Source organism: Homo sapiens, chromosome 13 (genome assembly GCF_000001405.40).
Source record: "Homo sapiens chromosome 13, GRCh38.p14 Primary Assembly".
Lineage (NCBI taxonomy): Eukaryota > Metazoa > Chordata > Mammalia > Primates > Hominidae > Homo > Homo sapiens.
The window spans coordinates 75,787,828-75,804,559 of NC_000013.11; the positions used below are offsets into that span (position 1 = coordinate 75,787,828).

General features: G+C 38.5%; 1 protein-coding gene across 56 annotated transcripts in view, besides 2 other annotated features; it reads left to right on the forward strand.

Annotated features, from left to right (window-relative positions):
• LMO7 (LIM domain 7) overlaps positions 1 to 16,732 on the forward strand; it is a 239,437-nt gene that overhangs the window by 167,394 nt on the left and 55,311 nt on the right. For 55 of the 56 annotated variants that reach the window (NM_005358.5, XM_047430323.1, XM_047430329.1 and 52 more), the window contains 4 exons: positions 7,574 to 7,604; positions 8,809 to 8,922; positions 12,857 to 13,055; positions 16,462 to 16,714. In NM_005358.5, the coding sequence (NP_005349.3) occupies positions 7,574 to 7,604; positions 8,809 to 8,922; positions 12,857 to 13,055; positions 16,462 to 16,714 (597 nt within the window). Of the gene's footprint in view, positions 1 to 1,107; positions 1,261 to 7,573; positions 7,605 to 8,808; positions 8,923 to 12,856; positions 13,056 to 16,461; positions 16,715 to 16,732 lie in introns of those variants that run through there. The other variant, XM_047430328.1, reaches the window with a different exon arrangement.
• Positions 681 to 900: an enhancer, noted in NCBI's record as "active region_7835". NCBI's record gives its function as "activates an Ori minimal core promoter by ATAC-STARR-seq in GM12878 lymphoblastoid cells {active_cell/tissue: GM12878}" and the evidence as "EXISTENCE:reporter gene assay evidence [ECO:0000049][PMID:35858748]".
• Positions 15,216 to 15,890: an enhancer, noted in NCBI's record as "NANOG hESC enhancer chr13:76377179-76377853 (GRCh37/hg19 assembly coordinates)". NCBI's record gives its function as "activates a minimal SCP1, AML or CMV promoter by ChIP-STARR-seq in naive and primed H9 embryonic stem cells {active_cell/tissue: H9 hESC(naive and primed)}" and the evidence as "EXISTENCE:reporter gene assay evidence [ECO:0000049][PMID:30033119]".

Below are 16,732 nucleotides of genomic sequence, written 5' to 3' on the forward strand. Positions count from 1 at the left end.
TTCTTAGTTTTCTTTTTAATGCAGCTTACTTTTTTTGAGAGAAGGAAAGAAGTGAAGTATTCTAAGAATTCATCTTCAACTTGTTTTATTCACATATCTCTTGTTTGACATAGTGATGAGAGAATGGTGATTGCACTTTTCTCTATTTTAAATAGTGCGATGGATGAGCTTCCATTCATAGAACAATAGAACTTCATTTAGTGGAACAAGAAGCCAGTACCTGATATATTCCTAAATTCCTATTTTGATTCCTAGGTTTTGAAGAGCAATAGCCCCTTCCCTTAGAGACAGTGGTATTAAAAATGATTTTCTCATTATTCTCTTAAAATTTCACTTAGTACATTTAGGGTTTCTTATGACACCTACACTTTTCTCCTGTTTGCAGATAGACTGGCTTGTTGCATATATAAAAATGAGGTCAGGAGTTTGAGACCAGCCTGGCCAACATGGTGAAACCCCATCTCTACTAAAAATACAAAAAATTAGCCGAGCGTGTTGGCGGGCTAATCCCAGCTACTTGGGAGGCTGAGGCAGGAGAATCACTTGAACCTGGGAGGTGGAGGTTGCAATGAGCCGAGATTGTGCCATTGTACCAGCCTGGGCAAAAAGAGCAAAACTCTGCCTCAAAAAAAAAAAAAAAAAAAAAGCCACTGCTCTGTCCTCAGAAGAACTTCTGCTTTGAATTTTCCCTACTGTCTCCCACTGCCACACATGCCTCCGCTCTTGCCCCAGACATATCTTACATATTTAAACCAGATGCAGTCCATATACTTTTTCTTCCTGTGACTGCTCATGAAATCATGATTCACGGCCTCATTTCTTGATTTTTTTTTAAAGTTGTGAACAGGTGGCCAAGCTGCATAAGCAACAACTGGAGAGCAGAGATTACTTAGTGGCTTGGAGAGGGACCAAGTATCTTGTGAGCCCAGCTCTTCTAATATCAGTCCAGTTTCCCAAGAGGCAACTCCCAGGTCAGCTGGTGCCACCCAGGGCAGGGCAGGGCTGGAACTGACTTTTGAAGGGTGGGGTCTGTAGGAAGAATCCATGCATTGCTCTGGGAAGTGGCCTCAGGAAGTAGAGGGCTGGGGACAGAATCACTCATGAGTTGCAGTTGTTCTGGGCAACAAAGCAAGGCGGATACTTATTCTGGTAGCAGGGTGGAGTTTGAACTGGGCAGTTACCTCTGCTCAAGCCCCTTGAAGAATTTCAGATTCCCTGTTAACCATGGAGGCATGGGCTGGAAGCTGGGTGTGGGGGCAGGTGAGTTCAAACTTCTTACCTTTTCTATTAGGATATGGATAAATCTTCCCCCGGGGATTCTTTGGACAAAAGCATTCCCATTCTGTCAAAAATTCCAGTGTGAGGTTTTTATCATACATGTTTCCCTGTATAATGATTCAGTCAGATAACTGTATTTGATCTTAAACAAGATTGGCTTGGACAGGATAGGGGCTGGGATTTGGGGAGAAGAGATGATTTTGGAGCATAAAGAATTCAACTCCTAGGAGGTTATGTTATTTAGGCAAAGCATGGGGAGATCAGGCCTTCCAGCGTTGCAAATGAGAATGCTGGTACCTTGAGAAAGAGAGGTACTAAGACATGTGAGAGGAACACAGAGAAGTGGGATTCTGTGGCAAATTCTATGAAGCTTTACTCCCACGTGGGGAAAAATTTCCTGTCTGTCTTGGCCCCGATCTGCGGAGCTGGTTCTGTGAGTGGCTTTGATAGCTCATATATGAACATTTAAATGCTTGGCTGTTCTTAGCTAGGCCTTTGATGGACTCTGGTATGCAACCATGTGGCCAGTGTGGCTCCAGCTCCCTGCTGTCTGGGCCCACACGCAGACTCCTTAGAGCATAGTATGCTCTAAACATACCCTGGGGAAGGCGGTGCTGGGTGCATGTGCATGGGCCCAGAGTTAGCTCCTTGGATAAACAGAAGGCATTTAGAAATATTTTTGATGCAGCCCTAGCCCTAGAACATAATTGGCTGGTGCACTGCGGTAAAACTATAATCTCATCCATTAGCACCTTATTCCAAACCCGATCATAAATGAAGATAGATTTTGGCTGTGTAGGCACATTTTCCCTCAGATTTTGGAAAATTTAAGGGTATTTGGCCAAGGCAGGCCCTGGTAAACCAAGGATGTGTGGGGAGGGCTGGCTTGGGGCCAACATGGAAGTTTGGACAATGCTAATAATACCACGCCAGTGTGCTTTGCCCTTGGTTTGACCTTCTAGAAATTATTTCTTATCCTTCTTTAAAGCCTTCCATGGCAAAAGGGCAAGGAAAGTATAACATCGAAGAGTGCCTTGAATTATTCTTCACAGAAATGTCTCTTCTGAGGAAGAAAACTGTGTTGGGGGTGGAGGGGGCGGAGTTGACTGTCCTCCAGCCACTGCCCTGTCCCCTAGTAGTTTGGCTGAGATGGATAATTAAGGAATAGCCTTGAATTGTCTCACTTACTTGTCCTGCTTTGATTAAGCATTTTTTAAATCTCTCACTAAAGCCCAGTGAGGCTGGTACTGTTGTTCCCATTTTACAGGTGAGGCTTTGGAGACAGTGAAGTGATGCAATCAAGTTCTCACAGCTAGTGAAAGTGGAGCCAGAATTTACACACTGGAGGTCTGAACCCCAAAGTCCCGCACTCAACCAAGCTTCCTCCTCAGGGAACGACCCGGCCTGGGATCCCTGAAGACCCACAGCATCTATGTAGACTTTTTTACCCACTGGTCCTTTGGTTAGAAATGATATTTCTTGATTGACTTGGTACTAGTATTTTAAAACCTTTGAGTAAAGAAAAGAGGATCAGACCTAGAGCTTCCTGGTTCTAAGTTAACATAGTAGCAGTTAGGATAAGATGATTAGAGCTGCATGAGTCCACTTGAGAGCTTGGGGCTCCCTTGTTCTTACTCTCTGGCAGAAAGCTCAGATGTCCATGATGGGCATATAGTTTCTGGCCCTTTGCCAGAAAGCAAAGGAATTATCAGAGCTATTCCATTAATAGAGTGGAAGATTGTGTCTATGCTGTATTTGCTATTTCTTGAATATTAAACATGTAAAAGTTAATGTATGATCCAAGTATAGAGTAAGGGCTATCAACATACCCAAGATAGGTATTTTTTTTTGCAACTATTAATATTTCATATCTACCCCTTTTTTTTTTTTGGATGGAGTCTTGCTCTGTCGCCCAGGCTGGAGTGCAGTGGCATGATCTCGGCTCACTGCAAACTCTGCCTCCTGCATATCTACCCATTTTTAATGCAGATTTGGATTTCAGTGCAAGTATGGATTCTTTGGGCTCTGTCTTTCAGAGCTCTGTTAGGAAGCTTTTTCATCACATAGGCCACCATGTAAGCTTTGTATTCAGTCCTTTGAAGTTTGTACAAAGCACTTTGGTCTTTGTTTCTGTATCTGTTTTTTGGAGGGATTATTGATTTGATTCTAAAGAATTCTATTTTATTGCAATTTAAAGATAACAGGTTAGTAAGAAGTATAATTATGAGTATCAATACAATTTGAGTTGAAATTGGACATATTTGAAGTAGGTTAATGCAATTTAATTGTTCTCTGACATTGTATGAGTATTGTCTCCTGAGCTTTTATCATTTCAGGCTTTTTATTGCTAATTTACATTTCTATAGGTTAAATAAATGTATTTAACCAGAATTTGAGAGCATCTGTTTGCCATGTACTGTGCGAGGCATTTTTAATCAAATATTTTTATGTGCTTGCCAAGTGGTAGACCCTGTCTTAAGGCAGTTGGAATATAGCAGTGAACAAAATCACAAAAGTCCTTTTGGATTCAGGTAGAGGAGAGAAAAAAATGCCTATAGTAGATGGTTATAAATACAAAAATAAAGCACGGATGAGAGATTGGGTGTGTCAGGTGGGCTAGTTGCAGTTCTAAATATTGGGGTCCACTGATGGGCCTTGCCATCACATGGCTTACAGCCTTGTAATAATTCTTTGTTCACAGAGTTGTTGTTCTTTGATCATAGTGTAGAGTAAGGGCTATCATCATACCCAAGATAGGTATTTTTTTAAACTATTAACATTTTATCTGTACCCATTTTTATTGCAGACTTGGGTTTCAATGCAGGTATGGGTTCTTTGTTCTCTTCTCTCTCCCCTCTCCCCTCTTCTCTTCCTTTTCTTGAGAGAGGGTCTCGCTTTGTCACCCAGCCTGGAGTGCAGTGGTGTGGTCATAGGTCACTGCAGCCTTGAATTCCGGCATTCAAGAGATCCTTCTGCCCTCAGCCTCCCAAGTAGCTGGAACTATAAGCATGTGCTACTGTGCCTAGCTAATTTTTACATTGTTTAAGAGGCAGGGTCTTGCTATGTTTTCCAGGCTTATTTTAAGCTTCTGGACTCAAGCGATCCTCCCATCTTGGTGTTCCAAAGTGCTGGGATTACAGGAATGAGCCACTGTGCCTGGTCTGTTTCTTGATGAACACTTCACCATTAGAAGGAAATTTCCTTCTAATCTACTGAAACAGAGGGCATTATCCCTACTTTGTCCAGAAGGAAATCAAAGCTTTGAGAGTCAAGTAAATTACCAAATGAACACAGTGAGACCCAGATCTGACTCCAAAGCGCAGGCACTTAAACATGGTATCAGACCATGTCAACTTTGGACATATTTGTTGTGGAAAAATTATCCAACTTTGGAGCTAAGGCTGTCTTATATTTCATTCTGAGGTGTCGTGCAGTAAGTAGGCTGGTTCATGGAGTGTGTGTGTGTTACCTGTGTTACTGTGAGCTTCCCCTTCACCATTGCAGTAGTTCTATTTTAAAGGACTTTGGGTTATGCCCTGTGGCCACATGACAGGCAAAGGAGCTGCTTGGTTACCGACTTCCATGCAGTGGAATGCATTTGTATGTGAGAGAGTGAACTCTGTTTACTCCAGCAAATCATTGACTACTTGAATTCCTGGCATTGCATTTCAGAGATAGGACACTAATTTGGCTGGCCTATGTATCATGTCCAAGAGCATGTTATAAATGCTCATATTTAGAAGGGAATGTAAAGTGAGTAAAAGGTAATAATGCGAAGGTCACTGCTTATGGTGTTTATCACAGAATAGGACATCCCTTGTATTTCCAATGATTGTTTTATCATGATAAAAAGTGAAAACAAATGAGTATGTTGGATTAGAAACCTTTTTGAGGACTGTGGAAATGAGGTCAGGGGTTCAAGAGAGCTCTGTTTTTCCTTCTGCCTTGAGTGTGCTTATGATCAAAGTGGGAGGATGTTCAGCCCAGTGCATTCTTTGTCCTGTGCATTGATGATTCTTTTGTGCTTTGGCTAATTTAATGTTTGACATGTGTATGTTGGTTATTAGTCCAAAAAAGGGGCTATATGTTTGCAACTCTGCTGTTTTTTGTTGTCAGTTTCTAGTGACTTTTCCCACTTACCACTTCTAAGTTAAAGTGCTGGGTTTTTGTTTGTTTGTTTGTTTTTTGAGACGGAGTCTTGCTCTTGTCGCCCAGACTGGAATGCAGTGGCGCAATCTCAGCTCACTGCAACCTCCGCCTCCCGGGTTCAAGCTGTTCTCCTGCCTCAGCCTCCTGAGTAGCTGGGATTACAGGCGCCCACCACCACGCCTGGCTAATTTTTGTCCTTTCAGTAGAGACGGGGTTTCCCCGTGTTGGCCAGGCTGGTCTTGAACTCCTGACCTTAGGGGATGCACCCTCCTCAGCCTCCCAAAGTGCTGGGATTACAGGCATGAGCCATTGCACCCGGCCATTGCTGTGGATTTTTATAAGATAATTTTCTTTTTACTCAAGAGTTAAGCTATGGTTTGAGCACATGGGCTGTGGAATTTATTCTACTTGTTTACTTTTTTGAAGGATAATATACAGAAAAGTATACATATTACAAATGTACAACTTAAATACTTTTTGGAAACTGAGCACACCTGAGTAGCCAGCTTCCAGATCGAAGCACAAACAATTGTCATCCTAGTGCCCCATCCTCTTCTAATCTCTTCTGTCATTCTCTTCCCACAAGGGTAACCACTACCCTGACTTCTAACAGCATTTTTTTATTCAGCCTGTCTTTGTACTTTATATGAATGGAATAATACAGCCTGTACTCTTTTGCTTTTGGCTTCTTTTTCTTTCCATTATTTGAGAGGTTGAACTTGTGGTTGAATATAGTTGAAGGTTATTTTCATTGCCATATGATATTTCATTACGTGGATATGCCATAATTTATCCATTATAATGTTAAGGACATCTACGCTGCTTCTAGTTTTTGTTGCGATGAATAGTGCTGTGATAAACATTCTTGTATATAACTTTTTGTTAACATATATAAGCGTTTATGTTGGATGTATACCTAGGAATGGAATTATTAGGTCATAGAATATCAATGTATTTAGCTTGAATAGATATTACCAAGTGACTTAAGAGTTTAAGTAGTTGTACCAATTTACATTTCCATCAGTAGTGTGAGAGTTCATGAATTTCATTGTTGAGATGTTTTTTTGGGAGGTGGGTAAGAGGTGCATGCTCTTCTTAGGTTCATTTCAGTACAAGTTTGTTTTCTGGAAAGGAATGGTCTTAGTTGCCTTGTTGATTCTTTGAAAGCTAAGTTAAAAATTAGTCTCTGTGTACTCACATTCTCTTTTTACTTTTTCTCTGTATATATGAATATATATGTGTTTTATGTTGATGTCTTCTACATGCATATATAGATGTGTGTATATTTTATCTTAAAGTATACTACTGTGCTGTTAGACTGGACAGGCCAATTAGAAGCTTTCTTAATCAGGCTTCTACAAGTCTCTGAATTCACACCGATCCTGCTTAAGTGTCTCTAATGAGGGGAAGTGCTTTCTTTTTAGGATGACCCATCCCTTTGTGAAGTAGCATATTGTTGCTTCTTCAACACTGTGGTGCCATCTGCCTCTTTTTAACTTCTCCCATAAGTATCATGCCCTTTCATATGTGAGCAAAAAACCCATGATTCTTATAATACAGTGAAGTTTCTTCAGGCAGAGGTTCATGGCTGTTTTTTAAACTGCCACTTTTCAACATTTGCAGGGTCAAAGTCTCTGAGCAGTTTGCTCTGGGGAACTTGGATGAAAAACCTTATGGATGATGAAAAAAAAACCCCATCAGTGCAAAAAACCCCTCGCTTTTATTTTTCATTGTGTTTTTAAGGTTTTTTTCCCCCCATTTCCCAGTTCTTTTTTCATGAACACACTGATCCCCCCTCATTGGGTTTAAACCTTGTTTAAGAAGGAAATACAAAAAATGCACATAATGTATTTAAAAATTAGACTGAAATGAATAAAATGAAAAAACAGCACTGCTTTTTATAGAAAACTGACAATTATATTAATGCATATCAATGAATACAGAAAATCAATGCATTATACTTTTGTCAAATCAATGAATATGGAAAAATTCTTCTGATGGAGATAATATGAGCTCTAAGAGATTTGGACTTCCATGTGATATTAATATTCATAGAATTTTAGAATAAAAATGAGTTTTTTTCTAGCTATAATTAATAATTTAAGGTTCACGGATATTACCTAATAGATATTTTCTTTCTTTACAGGCAAGAAGAGACTGACAGGAGAGTGAAAAATGTAAGATACATTTACCTTAATGGAGCATTATAAGTGGCTTTCACTTTCATGTTCTGTAAGAAGGCAGTGAATCTAAAAGTATACTCTACATCTCTTTTCTAATTAATTTTTTGCTACAAACCAATCAGTTACAAACAGTAAATATGTTTAAATATATGCATTACAATATATGGTTAGGCTGTTCAGCTCCCACTTATAAGGGAGAACGTGTGGTATTTGGTTTTCTGTTCCTGCATTAGTTTGCTGAGGATAATGGCTTCCAACTCTGACCATGTCCCTGCAAAGGACATGATCTTGTTTCTTTTAATGGCTGCATAGTATTCTAGAGATGAACAATGAGAACGCATGGACACAGGGAGGGGAACAACACACATTGGGGCCTGTCAGGTGATGGAGGGAAGGAGAGTCTTAGGTTAAATAGCTAATGCATGTGGGACTTAATAGCCAGGTGATGCCTTGATAGGGGCAGCAAACCACAATGGCACACGTTTACCTACATAACAAACCTGCACATCCTGCACATATATCCCAGAACTTAAAATAAAATTAAATTTAAAAACATATTGTTAGAGTGGTATAAGAGGATAGGTTAGATTTAGGAAGCTGTTTGTTATGTGTTAGCAATACGCTAAAGGCAAGTAAACACATTTTAAGATTTTTATAGGAGTAAATAGGAAACTACCAATTTAGACTTTAAGGAAAAGCACTGACTGTTTAAGGACTCTGGGTAATTCATCAATGTAGACTCATATGTCTTACAATATTTTATGGAAATTGCAAGAATATCTAAAAATGTTGCAGCTTTATTAAAAAGTTTAACATCCTTATTAAGGAAGCTGAGAATTATTGATGTTTAGGTGATCATTCTGTAAGTTCGATGAAAAAACATTGATTGCTTTAAAAGTTTCATTTGTGTTTTCTCTTATTTTTTTCCCTCTTCGTATATACTAGTAGAGTATATGAATGACTACCTTTTGGAGTCTGGACTTTTGGTCTGAGAACTTGCTCAGAGACAGGAAAATTTAGCAAGAAAAGTTAAGATTTTTAATGACTTTTACCTTTCCCATAAACTTAAAAGAAAGTCTACTTTTCACTTACAGAGTAATATGTGCTATCATTTATCTACAGTACTCACCTATATTTGAGCTTGCAATTGGTTGCTAATCGACTGATCTTGTTGTTCATGGATTTTTTTTTTTTTAAGGTTTTGATAACATTGTACTGGCTGGGAAGAAAAGCACAAAGCAACCCGTACTATAATGGTCCCCATCTTAATTTGAAAGCGTTTGAGAATCTTTTAGGACAAGCACTGACGAAGGTAAGTAAACTACATCTGTGTGAGATTACTGCTGTAATACAGTATCACTGCTTTCCCTTCCTCCTCTCTTCTTTTTCTTCTCCTTCTCCTCTATAACAAATATGGCAACTCCGACTCTCTTTGTCCTACTATCAATTGGGCTGAGTAAAGAGGAATGTTACTCATTTACTGGCTTTATATGCCACCACCAAGGAGTCAGTTGGGTCTATTCCAGAGCAATTTCCAAGGTAGAGAAACTTGCTTACCTTTTAATTCTACATAATTTGATGACACATGCATTGGCTTCCTTCCTTACACACTTTATGTAGCTTAAGTATTGCTATACTCATCGTAAACTCAACCTGTAGTAGAGAGGTGCTTCCTGGACTGTTCACGCGCATGGAATTTACTCAATTTCTTTGTAGTAATATGTTCTTGTCATAGATGATAGTCTTTAATGCCCACACTTTCATATCCCCACAATTCTACCATGCCGCCTCTGTTTCCTAAAGAGTAGGACATGGTGTTAACTGGAACTTGATGTAAGGTTTTTAATTTAGAATCTTTTGTTTTATACACATTTCTAGTCATTCATATTTTGCAATCAATGTGACAGCCTTTTGAATGCTTGAGGATCATTTGCAGAGAGCCAAGTGCCAGGACTGACCGTAGTTCTGCCAAATCTTCATTTATAAGATCCACATGGGAAAAACGAATTTCTCTGGGTAGGGATATTTATTCAGGGAAATTTGTAGGACTCAGAAGAGCCCTTTTGTGTAGTCACAATGGTGTTTCATCATCTAATTAGTAGTCATTGTTTCATGGGTTTCTCTAATGGTTAAATGATACCACACCAGTAAGGCATTTAGCATTAGCCTCTAGCACATTGTAAGGTTGCAATAAATATTAGTTGCTGTGATTGGAAGAAATTTTAGGCCAGGATGAACATGATAACCTTGGCTTGCACCTACCCTGATCTTTAAATAATTTTGCCTGAGCCCAGCCACATGTATTATAGCAAGAGGTGGGATTATAGAGCCTAGAAGATACAGGTATTCCTGTTCACCCCCAAAATGTAAGGAGTCAATAACGCTGTATTCAAATTCCTTGAATAAGTTAATTCAGGAAATAGCTGAGATATTAACATGCATACACATAGTACTAAGTGTTAGGAAAACACTCATGAGAGACTACGTAACCTCATAAAGCACAATTGTCTAAGATAGGTGAGCATATTGGTCACTGCAATGAAGAATGGTGAGGCTTTAGTGGAGGAATTTCAGGGGGCTTTGAGCACAGGGAGAGCCTTGATTTACAGTTATTTCAGCTAACAAAACTTTTGATTAAAACCTATGTGGGGGGCTGGGCACAGTGGCTCATGCCTGTAATCCCAGCACTTTGGGAGGCTGAGACAGGCGGATCACCTGAAGTTGTGAGTTCGAGACCAGCCTGACCAACATGGAGAAACCTCATCTCTACTAAAAATACAAAATTAGCTGTGTGTGGTGATACATGCCTGTAATCCCAGCTACTCGGGAGGCCGAGGCAGGAGAGTCGCTTGAACCTGGGAGGCAGAGGTTGTGGTGAGCCAAGCCTGGGCAACAAGAGCAAAACTCCGTCTCAAAAACAAACAAACAAACAAAAAACCATGTGGGACTTTGGCTTATGTACTAGGGCTGTCTTTGTAGCCTTTGGTCCTTTTAATGACAGTCTGACTCAGGTTGAATAATCCTAGTACAGTGTCTATGCCAGGAATGCTTTATCAAAGGCTGTTTCCTGTTACCAGTTTCAAAACCAGAGGAGGTAGTTGAAGACCTTATGGTGTATAAAACTAAGGTTGTGGTTCCATTCCATTATAATAAACTGGGGGTAGCTGTTAGAGGTATGTGACTATATCACATGTTTTGTATCAGTTCTATTAAAATCAAAACCAATGTGTTCATCAGGCATTTCCCATTTAACCAGATAATGCTTAAAAGCTAACATAAAATACCAATTAAACAATCGTTGGTGGAAGTTGTAGCACCTCAGTCAGTCATCTTGGAAGTTGGAGGTGACTCATTTTAATTGACTTGTCAGCGTGCCTCCTTAAAAGCCAGGCACCAGGGCCAAAGGTTATTTTATAACTGAAGTGGCTGTCATCAATAACTTTAACATTTATGAGGTCAAAAATCCATCTTGAGTGTTGAACTCTAAGGCCTTAACAAATACGTGTTTGAGAAACCTGACAGATCTAAACGCTTAAATTTAAAAAAATCTTTCTGTATTTTGAGAAGCATTTTGGCAGCACCAGCGCTAGGCCTGGCTTCCCCATCTGCTTGGAAGTAGCAGGATGTAAGGTAGGCACTTGCATTTTCATGACAGGATGTCAACTCTAATGCCAGGGTGTCGGCATCTAAAGCACATGAAATCTCCTTGAAATCTACTAGACTTTATTGGTGCTCCAGACACTTGTCAAACAATTGAATCATGAATTGACGGTATTAGATCAAAAGTATGCCTGAGACAGCTGCTAATTATTCACTGCAAACTCTTCAGCTTTTTCATAAGTTGAAAATATTTATAATTAAAAGTTGAAAGAAGAGTACAACAAATACCCAGATATGCACCGTCTGGTTCAATTATTACAATTTTCCATACTGGCTTTATCTACATATGTGTTTATCCATCCATCTATGTTTTTACTTAACCATTTTAATATAAACTGCAGATGTATTTCTCCCCCAAATACTCAGTATGCATCTCCTAAGAATATGAATATTCTTCTATGTAGCTACAGTGTTTATTATACTTAAGAAAATTCAGATATTCCCCATTATCTAATATTCAGTTGACATTAAAACTTTCATGCTTGTCTCCAGCTACTTTTCACAGCACTTTTTATTTTGAATCATGACTTAATCAAGGTTCACATATGTTTGATTGTTAGTAATTACTAGGTTCTTTAAATTGTCTCTGTATTAGTAAGCTCATCTGAAAGTAACATTTCTGGTTTTTACTATGACAAAATTATCTTCACCATATTAAAAAATTATAGTTACGAGATATTCATGATTACTGTAAGTCAGGACTACACCATGGGCTTTGTAAATTTTACTCACATCCTAATGTTTAAAAAGCCAGGTTATATTTTGTCACTAACATTCACAGAAGAATGTTAGTTAAAAGTGCTTATCTTGAGTAAGTTCTATATAATTCACAAACCTACAGTTAACATCATTTGTGATGTTCCTGTGTGTCCTTTATATGAGCCAAACAAATATTTTATTTAGGTCCATAGAAAATAAGTTATATATGTCAGCAAACAAGTATGCTTCCCTTGATTCAACAAGAAGGATAAGCCAGCTGCCAGGACCTTAGAACTAGGTTGTGTAATTAGTAAAAGTGAATGAATTCTGTGAAATTTGTGCCCACTTGCTCCTTTTTATTTTTCTGGGGGGAGAGTTAACTAACTTCAGTTGTTAAGGTTTTATGTTATATAAGCCATCACAAATATTTCCTGGAGATAGAGTGAATATAATCTTGCTGATTTATCTCCTTTTGGATGACTAAGTTAAGGTTAGTTTTTCTTTTTGACTCTTTTCACATTTATTGCTAGAGAACTGTAATAACTGAGTTTAGCATTTCAATGTTACTCTATGAACTTTCATTAAACTAGTAATTTTCCTTATTTTTAAATAGAACATATGTACTAGTTTATTAAATAATATTGAATATCTCCTTATTATTACTTTGAATATTGAATACCCCCTTATTGTATCAGTTGTGGGCAAACAATTACAAATTTATTTTCTGTTTTTCATCAGCTTTTTGCTGTGTCCGACAGAGAAACCTCATGCCTTACATGTCAAATAAAACCCAACTTAAATTAGGCAAACAAGCAAGTAATAACCGATTGATTATATTTTTTGGAAGTTTATTTAACTTACTATTCTTTAAAAAACGTTTTCTTTAGGCACTCGAAGACTCCAGCTTCCTGAAAAGAAGTGGCAGGGACAGTGGCTACGGTGACATCTGGTGTCCTGAACGTGGAGAATTTCTTGCTCCTCCAAGGCACCATAAGAGAGAAGATTCCTTTGAAAGCTTGGACTCTTTGGGCTCGAGGTCATTGACAAGCTGCTCCTCTGATATCACGTTGAGAGGGGGGCGTGAAGGTGTGTTGTGTTTTGGCTGTCAGTTTATTTGTTCACATATTAAGGGAGAACTGGGAACAGGAGAGAATAGAAAAATGGAGCAAAAACTAGGCAAAAATTTCACTTAGAAGTGGATTTTCATAGAGACTGGAGTATAATTGGGGGTTTTGTTATTTTTTTCTCCTTCATGATGGTGATAGTTTCATTTTTGAAAAATTTCATTTCTGGAAAGGACTGAGAGGTGACAGTTAATTGTGGCCTGTTTTATCAGTGATAATCTATCCTGGCTCTTCTCTCTCCAGATTCAGGCTTAATTTGTGTTCAAGAGTTCTATAAACTGATATATCTAAACATAGAAAGGAATATAAGATTCTGCAAAAAAAAAAAAAAATCTTCTAGTTTCTGAGTAACTTTCATCCTTGGCTTTTTTCAAAAGATTAAAAAAACTCTCTTAAGCAAAAAAAGAAAAATATTTTTACAATTATTTCTATAGATGAGAAGAAATGATTGCTATCTATCATGATAGAATATTATGTTAAACTTTGTAGATTGAGTAATATACCACCACCTAACATGCAGGTAGAAATCCTCTTTTGGTCCTTTCAGAGTCAGAGCTAACCCAGGACAGAGCAAGTGTGAAAGGAACATGTTAGAGACATTCTGTTGCGGGAAGGAACCTTCTTTCAAAATCCCAAGCTTATGGTCAGTTCAGTTATTTCAATGCACATCTTATTCCTGTGGCTACTGGGTATAGCGTCAGCAATTTCTGAGTGTACATCTCCAGCTATTCAGATTTGACTAGATTGAAACCACAAGTGAAGTTTTTTTTTTGAAATATTTCTGTGCTTCTATCGACATCAATGTGAAAACATTGAGTTCTGGCTGTGATTTGTGCTTAATTGTTAGGGATTTTACATTGCTTGTGTATTTGGAATATTACTTTTCTATTTCTAGATATTTTTCCTAGCATATCTATGACAAAAATGTCAAAAATCAGCAAACTTAAAATAATTGTACAGCGAACACACATGTATTCGCTGCCTAATTCCACCATGATGTTTTACTATGCATGCTTTATCTTATACTCATCTCTCTCTCCTCTCTCTCTCTTTCTCTTTCTCCCTCCCTCCTTTCTCTATTATAATTTAGTCATCTTATTTTTTGAGGCATTTCAGAATATATCACACTTGTCCTAAATACTTCAGTATGAACATCATTAACTAGAATTTATTCTTTGTTTTACTTCTGATGTGAAACTTATATAAATACAACATGCTATGAATTTGTTTTCCAAAAAACCAATCAACAATTTATTAAGCATGGTAACAAAAAACCTGAAGGCTTTATCTTTTAGAGTAGTAGTTTTTAAAAATAAAAAATGTGAAACGCTATTTCAGCATTAACCTTTATAATTACTGCCACACGTATTGGCTGTTTGCTGTCAAGGTGTGACATTTTCATAGCCCAGATGACGATTCCAATACGTTTAAGGAAATGAATCTGAGTATGTGATTCATCTGAGTGGTTAAAGCTGTAAAAGCAGAGGCTGAAATTCTGAACCCGCTGTATTTCTTTTCCCTTACTGAAGAACCTACTCCATGTAATGACAGAATTTATATCTAGTCAAGGAATAAAAGGGGAAGGGATAGAGGGCATGTGGGAATATGCAGGCTTCAGTCAGTTCAGATGCAGTGGCCCACCCAGCGGTGTGGAATCTAAGTCGTCTTCTCAGATCCTTGTTGGAATGGGCACCTGTCCATGTAACCAAAAGCAGAAGGCCACTGTCACATCCCTTTCTGATCTTGGAAATGGGGCTGCAGACCTTGTTTAAAGAGTGCGTAAGTGAAGTCTTGGAAATTACAACTAAGCGGGGAAAAAAAGCCTGGGATGGAGGCACCAGGCCGATAAAGCTCTTTTGTGATCAGTGTGTTAAAATTCTACTGCTACTCTCTAGATTGTAGTCCTAAATTGATGAGCACTATAATGTAGGGTAATATTTTTAGGATAACAGAATTGCAATGTCACATTCTCTAGTTTTACGTGAAAACTCATATCAAGAATGATACTTTGGGGGAAAAAATTCTCTGCAGGACACCGTACTGGGCTAAAAAATACTTTTTCTTAAAAGTTAGAAAGTAAAATAGTCTCTTTATGACTTTAAAATTCCACATGTATGGATTTCGGCAGGAGTAATTGATATACTTATTGGAAATGAGAAATAAATGTCTGATTTTTTAGAAGGTGGTAAAAAGAAAGCACCAGTTTATTGACTACTACTCCTCATGGTCACAGCTGCGTTTACTTTCCCTCTTTTGCCAAGACTCTACTCTCCTTTTACTCTGTCCCTGTCTCATAGCTGTATGTTAAGCGACTTCCTGTAGACTGTTCTCAGTGTTATTTACTGTAGCTTCCTGCCAGGCAGGAGGGAGGGGAAGAGACTGCATTTAACTCAGGTTAACCCTGCAGGTGCTCTACCTGCTGAGAGCTTGTAGCTGTCAGGCACTGTGCACAGCCAGGCCTGGAGAGAACCCTGGTGAGAAGCAAGTAACATTTCCAAACCTTTACAAGTGCACAGGAGGCAGGAAGAGAAGGGTGTGAAAGAGGGACAGCTTGGCTTGGATCTGTAGTGTTGTTCTCCCCCCTTTTCTTCCTTTGTCTTTAAAAGAGTAGATTCATTCTTCTTCTTTTAAGAAAGCAGATTACTATTTGTATCTATCTGACCTTGAGGAGTATCAAAGGGTGTTCTTTTGAATTTGTGTTTAAATGATTTTGAATCATAATACAGCGTTCCCAATATAATTTCCATGGCCACTCTGAAGAAACTGTGAGTTCTGTGCTCTCATTTGGGCATAAGACTTCAGATTCCTTTGGAACTTTAGAAGTCATCCAGTCCAGCCTCATATCTAATGTGTGATTCTGGTTTATAGAATCTATCCAGACCCTTTACAAGCTTGTTTTTTTTTTTCTTCTCTTTCTACATCCTTCCTGATCTCTCTCCTCACATATATTATAGATAGCTGCATGCCTTATTTTAAATTACTGAGTTCTCCCAGAATTATTTTTGCATGTTGTTTTAAGTATCTGTGACTCCATTGCTAGATTTTATTTCTATGTATTACATCAACAAATCTTATGGAAAATCATGGAGGAAGAGATTGAGAAAAAAGGGGCTCACTAGTAAAATAGGACTTATTCTTCTTAGAGCCTACAGCAGCAAAAGAATGTACTGCATGTGCCTCCAGTATGCAAAGCAAGTTCCTCCTAATGGATCTTATCACAACTTCGTGACAAATTTCTAAAAATATTCCCTGCAGTTAGCAGTGGCAGCACTGGGTTTCTAAGGGAAAGACAAAGCAGGCGCGCTGTGTGGGTTTCAGTTAGGCGAATAATCTGGAGAGTAAAGCAAATTCTTGTGCCTTCTTTATAGGTTTTGAAAGTGACACAGATTCGGAATTTACATTTAAGATGCAGGATTATAATAAAGATGATATGTCGTATCGAAGGATTTCGGCTGTTGAGCCAAAGACTGCGTTACCCTTCAATCGTTTTTTACCCAACAAAAGTAGACAGCCATCCTATGTACCAGCACCTCTGAGAAAGAAAAAGCCAGACAAACATGAGGATAACAGAAGAAGTTGGGCAAGCCCGGTTTATACAGAAGCAGATGGAACATTTTCAAGGTACTGAGATGGGTGTGA